The following is a 14,620-nucleotide window of genomic DNA, read 5'->3' on the forward strand; positions in this document are numbered from 1 at the left end:
TGGCTAAAGAGAATGCATAGCCATGATTTTTCCACTGACTTGATATTACAACAATGAACAGAGAAAAACAACCAACAGTGGGCTCCCACAAACACAGACCAGGGATGAATAATAATCTTTAGAACTTTTTGAATTTACAGATGCTTAAATCCAGTGCTGCCAAACTGGATGGAATTCTCTAGCTGAACTGCCATGTGTATTTTAAACATATACAAATACAAAAATAAATAAAACCCTATCTATATACGGGATGGGAAAAAGATACATTTAGACTCATTAACTCAAGGTCAATAATATAGTTCTATGTATGTATATATGGGGGCGTGGGGAATTAATAATAAATTCTTAAGTAATTTGAATGGGAAAAATGTATAAAACTGAAACTATGCAGAAATTATAGGAAATGATTGGATTTCCTTATCTTCACAAATATGTGGGATTACATCGGTATTAACATGAGTAGAATTTATTGTAGCACTTGCATATAATTAATGTAGAACTTACACATGCAGCATGATGTCCCTTGAAATTTCAGTGTCCTGTCAAACCTACAAAATGATTGAATTGAATTTATAATTTAAAAAATAACATAGTGGTACAAAGTGTAGAGAATCTTCTCTCTAGAGAGAAAATGAGAACTCAGTGATTCGAAACCGAAAAGCAGAACAGTTAAAAGGAATACCAATATGAAGGAGAGAGTTGCTTATAAAGCTTTCCTCAATCACTCAAATGGGAGAAGGGGTTCCATGAGCTGATTGTTGTTCACTTGTTTACAGAGTTTAATTAAAAGAAAAAAGAGCAGAATAATAAAATAGAACATAATGATAAAAGAAGTGTAAAAGGGGTATAAATAAATATGGCAATTCATTGTCATAATGCAGAAATGCATAGGAAAACCCACTTCAGATATGAAAAACATCATCCAAGTGTTGACAGGTATGGCTATTTGAAATGGCCAATAGGTAGGCTATGATACTAGTCTACATTTCAGAAATTTCAGTATGACATCAATGAGGTGGGAGGAGGAAAGAGCATGGATATTTTTCCAAGTGATATTTATTTTACCTTTCAACTGATATATGCCATAGACAGTCTTATTCTGTTTATTCAGTCATTATTGATTTTATTGAACTCTCTCTTAAATATTGGCTCTCTTGCAAGTACTGTAAAAAATGTTTTGCAAGGGAATACTGGAGGTGTTAAAGCTAAATGTTTGTTGTATAAAGAAATTTAATTATGAGAAAAAGAGTTAGTGTCAAGTAGTGCTTTATTCTGTGATTTAAATAGTAAGCATACTTGAGAGTTAAAAATAAATACAAGTTGCAAGCACAGAGTTTATTTCTTGCAGATTCTGTTGAGGTCCGGTCTTAGAACTCTGATGTTAGTATTTTATGACAGAAACTCTTCCCTGATTTACTGCCAAATTTGGGTAAAAATAGGTATCATTTAATCAGTGCATACTTGATCAATTAAACAACTTAAAATTATACCATTAGGCACCTGGGCTTTATTATAGCACATTTTCTCCATTTGGCACTTGAGTACATGCCCCAGTAGGAATGCAGCTTGAAATCATGCATTTTCAGATGAACTTCTAGCATGACACCAAGAGGCACTGCCAAAAGAACATGGCATAAACTCATGTGGCCTGCAGCACACACTACTTCCCTTTCTCCCTATGAAACTCTTTTCACCCAGATGAGCACACTAGCATTATTTAATAGATAGTAAGTTCCTAACTTCCTTTTATTACTTCTTATAGTCTCATTTTCCTATTATCATTTTTTGATGTTCTCCTTTCATGTGGAAGGAGAGTTTACAGACAACAGATCATCCCAAGAGAAACTTCAAATGAAAACTGTCTCCATATGTTAGAAAAGAAAATTTAAAACAAAAGTTCTCATCTATTCCAAGAAAGAAAACAAAAACATCTGCATGCATCTGAGGCGTTATTGTTCGCTTTCATCTTCCAAGTGGTCACACTTCTTAGTTTTATCCTAAAATTGTAACAAAAGCTCAACTGCATTTGAGTAAACACCCTAGTTTGCATCTATATTCCTATTTCCTATATGTTTTAAGATTAAGTTGATAAATCAAAGTGTGGAACCATCAAAGACTTCATTTAGAAATGCCCATAAAAATACTGTAAAAAAAACACTTTTTACAACTTCAAATGAAAACTGCCTCAAAGATGAAAAAATTTCATCTTTGCCATTTTGTATCCTCCTCGTAAGGTATTTGCTAGATGGATTAGTATCTTAAGGAAGGAATCAGGATTCCTACTTTTTAAGTCTAAACTGGATTAAACAGTCCTAGAAAAATTCTGAGAAGGATCCTTGCACTGTTAAGTGGTTAGCTGATCTCACTCTGGTTAATGCCAAGTGGGGCACAGAACATAATATGCCATGCACACCTGTATCAAGAATTTTAAACCCCCTAAGTGCTTCGGTGATAAAAATGGATTTATAAAAGATTCATGTAGCATCATATGAAAAATGATAACTCTTTAGAATCTGCATCTTAACAGTTAAATACTCACTTGTCGCAGTTCATCTGTATTCTCTCCCCTCCCACTCCTGACTCCAGACAGATGACTCCATTGACTTTGGACCATAGGCTGACTGTATCTGGAAAATCGCCCATTTCTCATAAAGGACAGAAATGTTCTCTGAGCAAGCCAATATTTTGTCTTAGTCCATCAGATCCCTCTTCATTATAAGAATATCATCATTTCTACAATTTCTCCCCTTACTCTGCCCTAGTTTCTGTGGACTGGGGAACTCCTGAATGACTGAATCTCCTGAAGCATTGTGCTCTTCTAGCTCTGGCCTGCCTTTCCCTCAGCAAATATCTGAATGGCTGCTTGCACTTTCCCTGCTTTCCCTGGCTCCAGCCAGACTGCCTAGGTCTCCCTCATTGCTTGCGGAACTCCATCTTCTCTATCTGTCCCTGCTTCCTGCTACCAGACCCACATCCTTGATTTGCTGTTGCCCTACATGGCATGTCCATATGTCCCAGTTTGTAGTGAGGCTGCAAAGAGCAGGGGACATGCCATCAAAAGAGCAGATTTTGAGCCGATGAACTGTATTATACAATGGAAATGATACAATATCAGGGGCGAGATACACATATTCGAGCTTCAATCTCACCTCCGCTAGCTGTTTAACTATGAACTATTATCTGACATCAAATATATCATCAAATGTAAAATGTAAATAGTAATTCTCTCAGGTTTATAACAGTCAATAAAATAGCACTTTAAAAGTGCCAAAGATAGGACTAGCATGGATATTATATAAAATAATTTTGAATGGGAAGAGATGAGAGATGGGGAGATCAGTTAGTAAACAATAAAATGGTGGCAATAAACCAGAGATGAGGTAATGAAGACCTATAGGAAAATGGTAACCATAGAAAGAACAAGGTCAACAGATATTTTCAAGGAAGTAAAAGCTCTTAGAAATAGATTAGATAAAGGAGAGGAAGAAGAGGAAGGAATCAAAGATAACTCCAAGGTAACTGGGTGGATGAAGTTAGGAAAGTTAAAATAGATAAAAATCAGAAAATGGATATTGAAGGACAGGTTTGAAAGAAGAAACAAGATCTATAACATTCACAAGATTTTAGACTTTAAATCCAATTAAAACAAAGGGTCATTAAACCACTTGTAACAACCTTAAAGCAATTTAACAGCACAATCAAAACTAAGGCTTACATATCTTGATTTTTATATAAAACAATAATCTTTTTTCTTTTAATCTAGAATAAAAATGGAAGTCATCCAAATAAATTATTTTTGAGGCCACTTAGTTACAGGAAAAGGTTGGAAATACAATTTTAGGAAACACTGGAACACAGGAAACAGTTGAAACTATTCGGATGGATGAGCTCACAGAATTATGAAGTGTAGAGGGAGAGAATGAAAAGGCAGTCAATAATACAAAATGCTAAAGAGATAGTAGAGAATCACACAGCATTCAGGTTTTAGCCTCACTTCTACCTCCCACTGCTACCTTCATGGTACCACATGATACCTAATAATGATCATGATGATATTGATGCTAATTCAGCTCTTAAAATTGTCTTCTAATAGACTTCCCGATATGATTTAATTTTATCCTTATAACGCCCTGTGAATAGATTCTATTGTTAATAGATTCCATATTTACAGACAAAGAATTTGAATGGACATTAAAGTTTGACCAAAGTCACCATTCAGGAATTAAGCACAAATAAATAAGTTCCACAGAATCAATTTTAGTCTAAACAGGGACACTTTTAAGAGTAAAAGAACAGGAGCAAACTGAAAATGTCCTGGGCAAAGTAGGTCATATTATCACCCTGGCTTTTAACTGCTAAGCAGTCTGCCTTGAATCTCCTAGAACCATAAAAGTCAGTTTTTCTGCATCATAATTATTTGCTTGAAGTCAGTCAATTGAGACTTCCTCTACCATTTGTCTTTTCTCCTACCTTCAATTTATTTTATTCTACTGGCTTCTTTAATTGCAAAGTTTTCCCAGCATACAAATCTCTTGAGCTCTGTCTCATGTCCTTGGATTCTTCTATTTACAAAACAGTATATTCTCTCTCAAATATTCTTTGCAGTATATTCTCATATACTTCCACTACTTTTGTTGCTGTCCCTTTCTCATTTCCCTATTTTCATGCAGTGGCCTCTTGTCTCTCTGTCCTCGTCCTTCTTTAGTCTTCCATTCATGCTATTAAAAAACATGCTATTGTTTTTGTAAGTTACCTTTAGAAAAACAAAATTCTGACTCCTTGATTAAAAAGTAAGCCATCATGGTTTCAAGATAATATTTACAGCTTTGTAGCCTTGTCTCCTACTCCCGCTTTATGCTTCAGGCTGAGCAAGGCGTTCATCATCCCTGAGGTCGGTGACCCTCCCCTATCTATCTATGCAGGCCACAAGGGTAGAATAGCACCCAGTAGGCAATAGGGTCTCAGAAGTTGTTTATTAAGGAAATTGTTAAACCAATTCAAAGGCTTCCTAATCTCTAATCTTCTTCATACAGTACTAAAAATAGCATATCTAGGCAAATAATAATTGAATGCATATTTCCTACATTTATTGTATTGACAATGCTGCTGACTTATTAATGAATATGTTACAGTAATGGAAAAAATACTACTGTCTTTTAGAAGAGGAGAAACATGATATTTGCCATCCCAAGACAGAGATACAATCTTATACTTCATTTTAAGCCATAAAAATATCTTTTTACTCAAATAGGTATCTAAGCTATTCTATAGGTGACATTTAAGAAGTTACTCTCAAACCAAATAATTCCACAAAAATCTGACAATGCACAAAAAGATAGCTTTGCTTTGCATGTGTGTTAAGAAATTAATGGGTAATCACGTAGTCATGGATATTCTATATTTGTTTTCCCTTTTAAGACTACCTATTAAGGGTACTTTTTTTGGCTGATGAGAATCACATTGTTGTATAAACAAATAGATCTGGAGTTTTTGACTAAAGAAATGTTTTCAAAGTGTTTTTCCTTTTGTTTATGTTGTCACTGCTTAAAAGGCACTGAGAGATAGAGAGATAGACCCTAGGAAATCTCTACCCTCGCCTCCTTCACTAAGGCCCAATATTTATTATGGGAATGAAAAATGCCTGCCTGCTTAAATTACAGTGTTATGTCATTCTGCCATGCAATGGAATAAAATCACATGTTAGAGAATCATGATAAAATTTGATCTGTTGTAAGGCGGTGGTGGGGAGTGGGGTGGAGTTAGGTGCCTTGTAGTGTTCCTTGGATTAATTAAATAAACTCATTTATAATATTCTTATGTTTTTTAAAAAATTTGAAACTCAAAATATTGTATGATTCTTAAAATAGTAATCAGACAAAATTATGTCAATATTAATATGCTTAAAATTTTGAAGAGAAATGTCTTAACCCAAGTGTATATTATTTTTAAGCAACAGAAGTTACCATTACAATCTAACCCGAGTTCATTGGGCTAACAGACAGTACATGCCTTGGTCTTTACACAGACTGCAAGAGTAAGATTGCCTGCTTGAATTCTCACTCTGCATCTGACAAGTTATAAGACCTTGACCAAATTATTTCTCTGTACTTCAGTATTTTTATAGCATAATAGTTTATGCGTATTAAAGAATAAAATAATGATATATCCCAGATGTCATTGTGAATATTTAAAATATTAATTAGAGCACAGAAGAGTGTTGAGGAATAGCAGACACTCAATAAATATTATGTATTACTATATAAACAAAAGGTTTTGGAGATTTTCTTAGTGGGGAATTATTTCAAATGTATTTTATAATGTTGAGCTAAATTAATTATTCCAAAACACATTTGAATGAATAATAATACACTTCTTATCTATCTTAAACCAAAGCAAGACAATCAAAAGTAAACAAAAAAAAATCACAAACCATTGAGCCAGTAGTGCTCTGAAATGTCAGTTCTGATGTAGTGGTGGTCATGAGTAGGCCCAAGGGATCGAGTGAATGCAGTATCTTTGCCAAGGAAATCAGAAGCTGTTCCAGAGTAGAGGTACTCATCTGAGAGGGAGAAAAAAGTACACAGAACTTTTAAGAGTACAGCAGTAGATGCTATTTAACATGTACAAATTTCACAGCATGACACCAAAGATGTTTGTTTCTTAATATCAGAATGTATTGTTTCATAAATTTCACAGATTTTGAAAATTTATCTCAGTTGAAGAAAAGATAACTCAATTTACTTTGGTAAGCTGATGCTGAATACTTGAATATAAACAGGCCAAATTCTCTGAATTAATAATTGCACATGCATTAGCTTCCCTTTTGAATAAATAATAAGTGTTTCCTCTTTCTCTTCTCCCCACAAATAATTCAAATAAATGTCATAATTAAGAGTTCCTCTTTAGAATAAGACACAAAAAATATGAAAAGCTAAATGCCATAATGAGGAATGGATTGTGTGATTAGTATTTACTTAACTGACACAACCTCAATGACCACAAATTTTCTTTGCCTAACCTCTGGTGAAAGGGAGCTTTCAGCACTGAAGTCATTCTTTGTAATTATAACATGTTGCATTCCTTGTAGCTAATCATGTCTCTAATAGTTCTGATAAACAGGAATTCTTGAAAGGGGAAAGATGTTGCCATTACTGCATACCAAACTTCTTTGTTCTGCTATTTGTGTAAAGTACATGTTCTGTTTCACCAGAGACAGAAAGGAGCAAAAGAGAGAAGGGGAATGTCAAGGAGAAAAAGAGAGAGAAAGGAGAGAAGAACAAAGAAGACAGGAGAAGGAAAGGGAGGAGGAGAGAAGGGATGGTGAGAAGGAGGAAGAAGGGAAGTAAGAGGAAGAGGGGGAAAAGAGGAGGCAGGAGAAGGGGAGGACAAAGAGAAAAGAGAAAAGGCAGATTAGAGAGAGGAAGAGGATGGAAAGAAGGGGAGTGAGAAAAACATAAGGGAAGGAGAAGAAGGCAGCAGGGATCCATGTTCCCTAATGTTAGTCAGGGTGTTGGGAAGGGGTGGGGCGGAGGGGCAGGAAGAAGGCTGTTCCTGCAGGAGAATATGTTGTCTCTTTGAGAGCTAAACCTCTACTATTTCAAGAAACTTCTTAGTCAACCACTTTGCTTTACATTTAATAGAACAATGTAAAAAATGGCAAATCCCTACAGAGCATTTAGACTTTATAAATGCCTAAATATGAGAACAAATACATTGTTTTATCACTGAAATTTATTTTTGCTCAGAAACATATCTTTAAAATTCTGCCTTGTATAAGAAGGGATTAAGATACTTTCTGTAGTCCCTGTTTATATCCATCTAAATAAGCTTTCAATGAACGATCAGGGATAATTCAACCTTAAGAATGAGAATAGCTAACTTCTAAAGGAAATGTGCGCTCACACACACACACACACACACAGAGAGAGAGAGAGAGAGAGAGAGAGAGAGAGAACTCCAGCTATGTAAAGTAGACATAGATAAGGTACTGCTTCCATCCTCTTAGAGTATTTCCCTACAATGTATCAGATAAATGGCAATATTTCATTGTGGGCATATTTTTTAAAAAGAATAAAATAATAACAACAAAGACATTATTAAAAAGTTTGGTAAAAGAAGTGAACTGTCACTTTGAAACCTATAAAATTGCAAGTATTTGAATGTTTTGTTAGGAAAAAATATATTTCAACACAAAAATTAGATCTGAATATCCAGGCTTTCGAACTTCTTCCTTGTCCCTAAAATTACTTGGAGATTCATCAGGAGAGTAACAACTGCCGCCAATCTATTGTTTTGTTTTGTTTTTTTATTAAGGGTATGCCAACTCCATTTCACAGAGCAGAATCACAAACCATCTATCTCATTTTCTGAGAATAATGACTGATCATTAGTCACATAATTTTCAAAAAACACAAATACACACATGCTGTCACTTCAAAGCAAAATCACTAGTTCTCACTAAGTGAAAATTAAAATGTCATGGTGCTTCACTCTTATCGTCTATTCAAACATTTGACAGACAAGTTAAATAGAAAGAGACTGAAGTCATGACCAAACCAAGACAAAAGGAGTCCTTATAATGGTTGAAATTCAGAAGTCTTGCTGACATTCCTTGGAACAGACTTCAGACCACACAGTATTGCTTCTTTGAACAAGATAGTTGTCTCATAAGAGAATTTAAGATGTATACAAAGTGAGAGAAGACTAGCTATGCTAGCATAAATTTCATGTTTCCACTGATATAATCAGGTTATAGTGAAATTGCAAAGGAAGATGTTATAACATTCTATTATCTGTATTCTATAGCTTGATTAATTTGGTTTAATTTACCCACATATGGAATTGCCAAATTTAATTTCTATAATAAGTCAGATAGGGAGATATTACAACATAAGAAAATCCCCAGACATCTAAATATAAAATTATAAAACAAGTAATTATCTGTTCTTTGACATTATAAATATTCAATCAGAAGTTAATTTAAAAAGTAACTGTGCAGACACCATGGATTGCTGTGGCCTTCCTTTAGTGAGAAGGATGCTCAGTACAGACAAATTTGGCACTAAAATAATGGAAACAAATCGCTTGTGGAAGATTAGTAAAAAATTACCTTTAACTCAATAGGAAAATGCGGTTCAGTCAAAAAATAACTCTTAGAAAACCATTTAAGGATAAGAACTGCCTGTCATTGATCTTACCTGTCATTACTGAAGCAAAAGGCTGCTGAGGATCGAAAGGACATTTCAGTCTGCCAGACTCCAAATTATGTGTGTCTAGTTTGAATATAATATCCTGTTATGAGAAATATTAACACTAGTGAACTTTTTAAAAATATTACAAACAGTAAGAATGTGGGAGATACAAACTAAATTCCAACTCATGAATTTGATAAAACTAATTGAGCATATAGCATGTGCATAATGCTGAACTCCTTAACTTTTTAGCAAATATATCTGGCAAGACTTAATAACCATGTTTTGGTCTCCCTTGGCCCAAAGTGGCAATATAATACTGAGTGAATTTTTCAAATGGAAGTAGTAATGTACTCATCAATACATTTAGTCTCCACAATTATCAATATCGAAATCACCACTAAGAACACATATTTCTTGAGCTTTCATGACTAACTTATTGAGCCTAATAAAACCAACTTCATCTTTTAAGAAATAGATTTGCTATAATAATCATACTTTCAGGATAATGATTACAATTTATATAACTAAGCATCTTCAACTATGTCAAATGACTTAAACCCTGTAATAGTTTTTAAAATTATAGTAACATAAAAGTGTTCTAAGGCGGGCAGTTCATTTTCAAGTTGTTGATACATCTGGGTAACAAAAAAATCCTGTTGTAGTATTTCACTATGACGAAAACACTGTACACATTAAACCACATAGTTATTTTGGCTGAAACATCTATTTTTATAATAGTGACCACAGACAGAATGACATTGGCAGACTTTTAGTATTTGGGAAAATAAATAACATCTTAAGTTGAACTTTCCAAGAAAAAATATGAATGTATAATGAATATGGCCCCATGAGATTGAGTGTTTCATAACAATGACAACACTACCATCCAGCAGAAAGGATGATGACTCACTCTGTGTATGCACTAGTTAGAGAAATCCTGCACTTCAGACATTCTGTCTAGGTGATGTATCTATGAAGTTATATCAGAACACACATGTAATAAAAAAGGACCATTCAGTGCAACTTATGTAGAACACAAGCAATAAAGCAAAAGGGACAGAGAAAATTATGTGTTATGTTGCACTTCAGATCTTTGTTTTTCTTTTGAACAAGACCAATAGTAACTATTGCCTCATTTAAAAAAATACTAAACACTAATAGCAATTTAAATAGCCTGGTTAAAAATTTATGGTTCATAATTTTAAGTAAACACACTTTAATACAAATAATAATGGTACCTTTATAATCTACTGGAAATAGGAGATAACAAGAAAGCAAGTTTCCTTGAGCCAGTCAAGGACTCATACAAGAAAATAATATAAAAAATAATGGATGATTCCATGTGCTTCCTGAAATAAACTGACTGAATTAATGGTGCTCTGTATTTTGAGACTTCAACTTTATAAGATTGCTTCTATGAAGTTCCTTATTCTTGATTAATTATGCAAAAAGCACCTGTCTGAGCTACACAGATGGAAATATGGGCAGAGAAGTAAAGATGATACAAGTAGGTAGGAATGCTAGTAAGAAAACATTTATTTATCACAACTCAGCAACATTATTGTTAATATCACGCCTATTTAAAGATACGATCTGCAGCAGCACAGGGGAGGTCCCAGAGGAAATGATACCAAGCCAAGCATTAAACAGCTTTCAAGTTTTCCCAGCACTGTGGGATACAAATATTATTTTATAGAAATATGTAAAATATACATATTGTGTACATCCATGCCTCTTTACCTTTCTGTGTTTCTGTTATCTAGAAATGGATGAATGTTAAGTGACTAGAATGAAGCAAGTGCTATGCCAAATAGTATACAATCATTTTCTCATTTTATTCTCAAAATAACTCTGTGAAATAGTTACTATTATCATTATTTTACTGAATAAGCAGAAGCATAGAAAGTTTATACAGTATGCATACAGCCATGGAGTTAGTAAATGACTGGAACCATATTTCAAACTATGGCCATCTGTCCTCAACTTACTATTAGAAGTTGTTGACAGCAGCACTGACTTCCTTCCTAAATTCCAGCTCCAGTTGCCCACTTGGCATGACCTACTGAACATGCCACAAATGCAGAATGTGCAAAACTAACTCACCATATTTCCCTCAAACTTGCTACTACTCTCACCTCAATAAATAACACCACTCTTCAACTCACTGGCAAAGTCAGGAATCTGGGATTCATCTTAGCTTTCCCTGTTTCTTCCCATTGCCCCAGCCACACTGCATAGCAGTCCCTGAAGTATACCTTTTTCCGCTCCTTTTGTGTATTGCTATTCCCTCTTCCCAGCCACCTTAGGAGGAGCCTTATTTATTTGAAAATGGAAGGTCCTTCTAAACTCCCTCTAGAAGTACAATGATTTCTTGGGACTAATGATTCATTAAAAAAGTTAACAATTTTCAAGCAGGGCTGCCATACAATTACCTGTACGCCAGACCAGCTAAAAACTCAAGGTTCAATGCCCCTGTTTACCCATAATTCTCTTATTCATGGAACTTGTAAATTTGACTGCCCCAGGGCTTCTTGACAGTCCCAAGTTGCTAATTAGCTCCATCTAAATCTAAATTCCCTTTCAGCACTTGTGACTTTTTTTTGTTGTTGTTTGGAGACAGTCTTGCTCTGTCGCCCAGGCTGGAGTGCAGTGGCACAAGCTTGGCTCACTGCAACCTCCGCCTCCCGAGTTCAAACAATTTTCTTGCCTCAGCCTTCAGAGTAGCTGGGATTACAGGCGCATGCCACCACGCTCGGCTACATTTGTATTATTAGAAAAGACGGGGTTTCACCATGTTGGCAAGGCTGGTTTGGAACTGCTGAGCTCTGGTGATCTGCCCACCTCAGCCTCCCAAAGTGTGAGCCACTGCGTCCGGCCAGCACTTGTGACTTTTAAGGAGCTATAAAACACTATTTGCCCCCCTCAGCAGGTTGCGAGTTTGGCCTTTATCCTTAGGCCTCAAAACACACTCAAACTGTGGGGCTATATCAGATAATTACACCCTATGCTATGAGCTAATGTTATATATTACCCTTCATCAGAGTTAGACAAGAGAACATTACACCACCAACAAAGAATGATGGATTCAAGTTACCAAGTCTCCTAGTGGCTCAGAAATTTAACTGTCAGGGTTGCTTTATTTTGAAACAGTTGAGTCTGGGCTGGTTAGACAAGTTGGTTAGAAAGGAAAATCCATCCATCCATAGTTGTGGGTTTGATCTCTGTGTGAATCAGCTAAGTCAATGTAAAGAAACCTTTTCCATAAGCCCAGACTTTACTTTCAAAAACACAGCGAATTATCCTGCAAATATGTGTGGTTACTCACAAAAAGTACAGTCATGCATCACTTAAAGACAGGGTATGTTCTGAGAAGTACATCATTATGCAATGTCATCATTGTGTGAACATCACAGAGTGCACTTACACAAACCTAGATGGTATAACCTACTGCACACCTAGGGTATATGGCATAGCCTATTGCTCCTAGATTACAAACATGTACAGCTTGTTACCGTTGAATACTACAGGCAACTATAAGACAATGGTAAGCATTTGTGTATCTAAATATATGCAAACATAGAAAAGATACAGTAGAAATAGGGTAATGTAATCTCATGGAGCTACCATATTGTATGCAGCCTATTGTTGATGGAAACCTTGTTATGATGCACATGACTGTACTTACATAAACATGAGGATGACATTGCACATCACCAAGAAACAACTGGGGGCACTTGTCCTAAAGCTCAGTTGCTCATGCTTGCTCTAGAGATAGACTGCCTTGATTCAATTTGTTGCAAGACCATTTATTAGTTGGGTGATGTAGCATGTAATTTATTCCATTGAGACTTAATTTTTACTAACCTGTAAATTGGTAATTATAATGACACTGGCTTTATTAAGAGTGTTGTGAAATTCCAAAGCAATAATCCATGTGAAGTGGATGGCATGAAGTCCATAACACAAGGACAGTAAACTAAAGTACTGGTAAATAATTTAATTGCAAAAATATGCATGTTTTTCACTTATTAAAGCACTCATTGAGATCTGGAATACATGACTCCTAATTAATACATCCTTTATTTCCATTATGCCAATTTGGTCCAGCTGAAACAATAAAGTCATTGTGCCAATGACTATACACTTTTAAGAAAATTATTAAAATATTCTTTACTTAGTGTCCACTATTATACATAACAGGTCAACTTTATTAGATAGGAAAATGAAATTATTTATATAATGCAATTCCACTGCAAGATCTTATGGAAAATGAATTTTTACCAATAGCAACATACTATGTATATCTAGTTAAAAAGGAAAGTCAAGAGAATATAAAGACATACATGGAGCCCATAGAAAACAAACACTTTTAACATTTTACACTATTAATTTTGATCATCCTGCTAAAAACAACTTTTAATAGAAAAAACATTTTTAAACATTTTTATTTGGTAGATCAAGTATATGGTGAAAATGATAGTCCATAGAATGGCTAGGAACATGAGTTACTATATCGTTCATAAACTATTCATTTTTTGTTTTGTTTTGTTTTAAAACAGGATCTTACTATGCTGCTTAGGATAGATTTGAATTCCTTGGCTCAAGGGACCCTCTGACTTCATCCTCCTGAGTATTGGCATTACAGGCAGGCACCTCCATGCCTGGCCATATATGTTTCAGTCCTTATATTCAAATCTGCCTGTTTTATGTCATAGGAATTAAGTAGTAATGTATTACAATAAATTATGCTTTTCATGCTTTTTCATTATATTACCTCCTTGTAGACTCCAAGATCAATATACCCACATATTGGATGAAATGCTCCAGTTCCACACACATATATGTGAGTTTTGTTATAGGGCTGAAGTACTCTGATGAAATTTGCACATTCTGTCTGTTGGGCACAAAAATTAAAAGCATTAACACACAATTCAGGTTTTTGAAATATTATCATTTATGCCACCTGTTTTCCAAGTAGATCAATCTTCAAAAATAAGAGCACAAATGAAAAAAGATTTATGAGAAATTCTAGACATCTGTTGTAGCAAACGAGGCAAGACAAATATAGAAACCATGGTATAAAGGAGTAGCTTTTTAGATTTTTGAAGTTATAAAACCATTGAACTAATCAGAATTAGGTTAATTAGAATGCAAGTCTATAGTGGTACTCAGTGAGCCCTAGAGAACGGATATAAACAGAATATGAATTAGACGTCCATATTTAAAATTTTCTCTTTTTTTTTTTAGAGATGACACCTCTCTATGTTGTCCAGACTGGCCTCAAACTCCTGGACTCAAGAGATCCTCCTTACTCAGCCTCCTGAGTAGCTAGGACTACAAGCACCCACCACCACACACACCTGGTATCCTTACTTTCTACAAGAAATACATAGAACACAGAATTTATCATGATCTGTTGTTACCAC

The 14,620-nt window shown here is 34.9% G+C and overlaps 1 protein-coding gene across 7 annotated transcripts in view; it reads right to left on the reverse strand.

The window, feature by feature from the left end:
- SEMA3D (semaphorin 3D) overlaps positions 1-14,620 on the reverse strand; it is a 254,691-nt gene that overhangs the window by 63,441 nt on the left and 176,630 nt on the right. For all 7 annotated transcript variants that reach the window (NM_001384901.1, NM_001384903.1, NM_001384902.1 and 4 more), the window contains 3 exons: positions 13,969-14,088; positions 9,198-9,291; positions 6,431-6,559 (listed from right to left, as the gene is read on the reverse strand). In NM_001384901.1, coding sequence (NP_001371830.1) covers positions 6,431-6,559; positions 9,198-9,291; positions 13,969-14,088 — 343 coding nt within the window. The remainder of the gene's footprint in view (positions 1-6,430; positions 6,560-9,197; positions 9,292-13,968; positions 14,089-14,620) is intronic.

Source organism: Homo sapiens, chromosome 7, assembly GCF_000001405.40.
Source record: "Homo sapiens chromosome 7, GRCh38.p14 Primary Assembly".
Classification (NCBI taxonomy): Eukaryota; Metazoa; Chordata; class Mammalia; order Primates; family Hominidae; genus Homo; species Homo sapiens.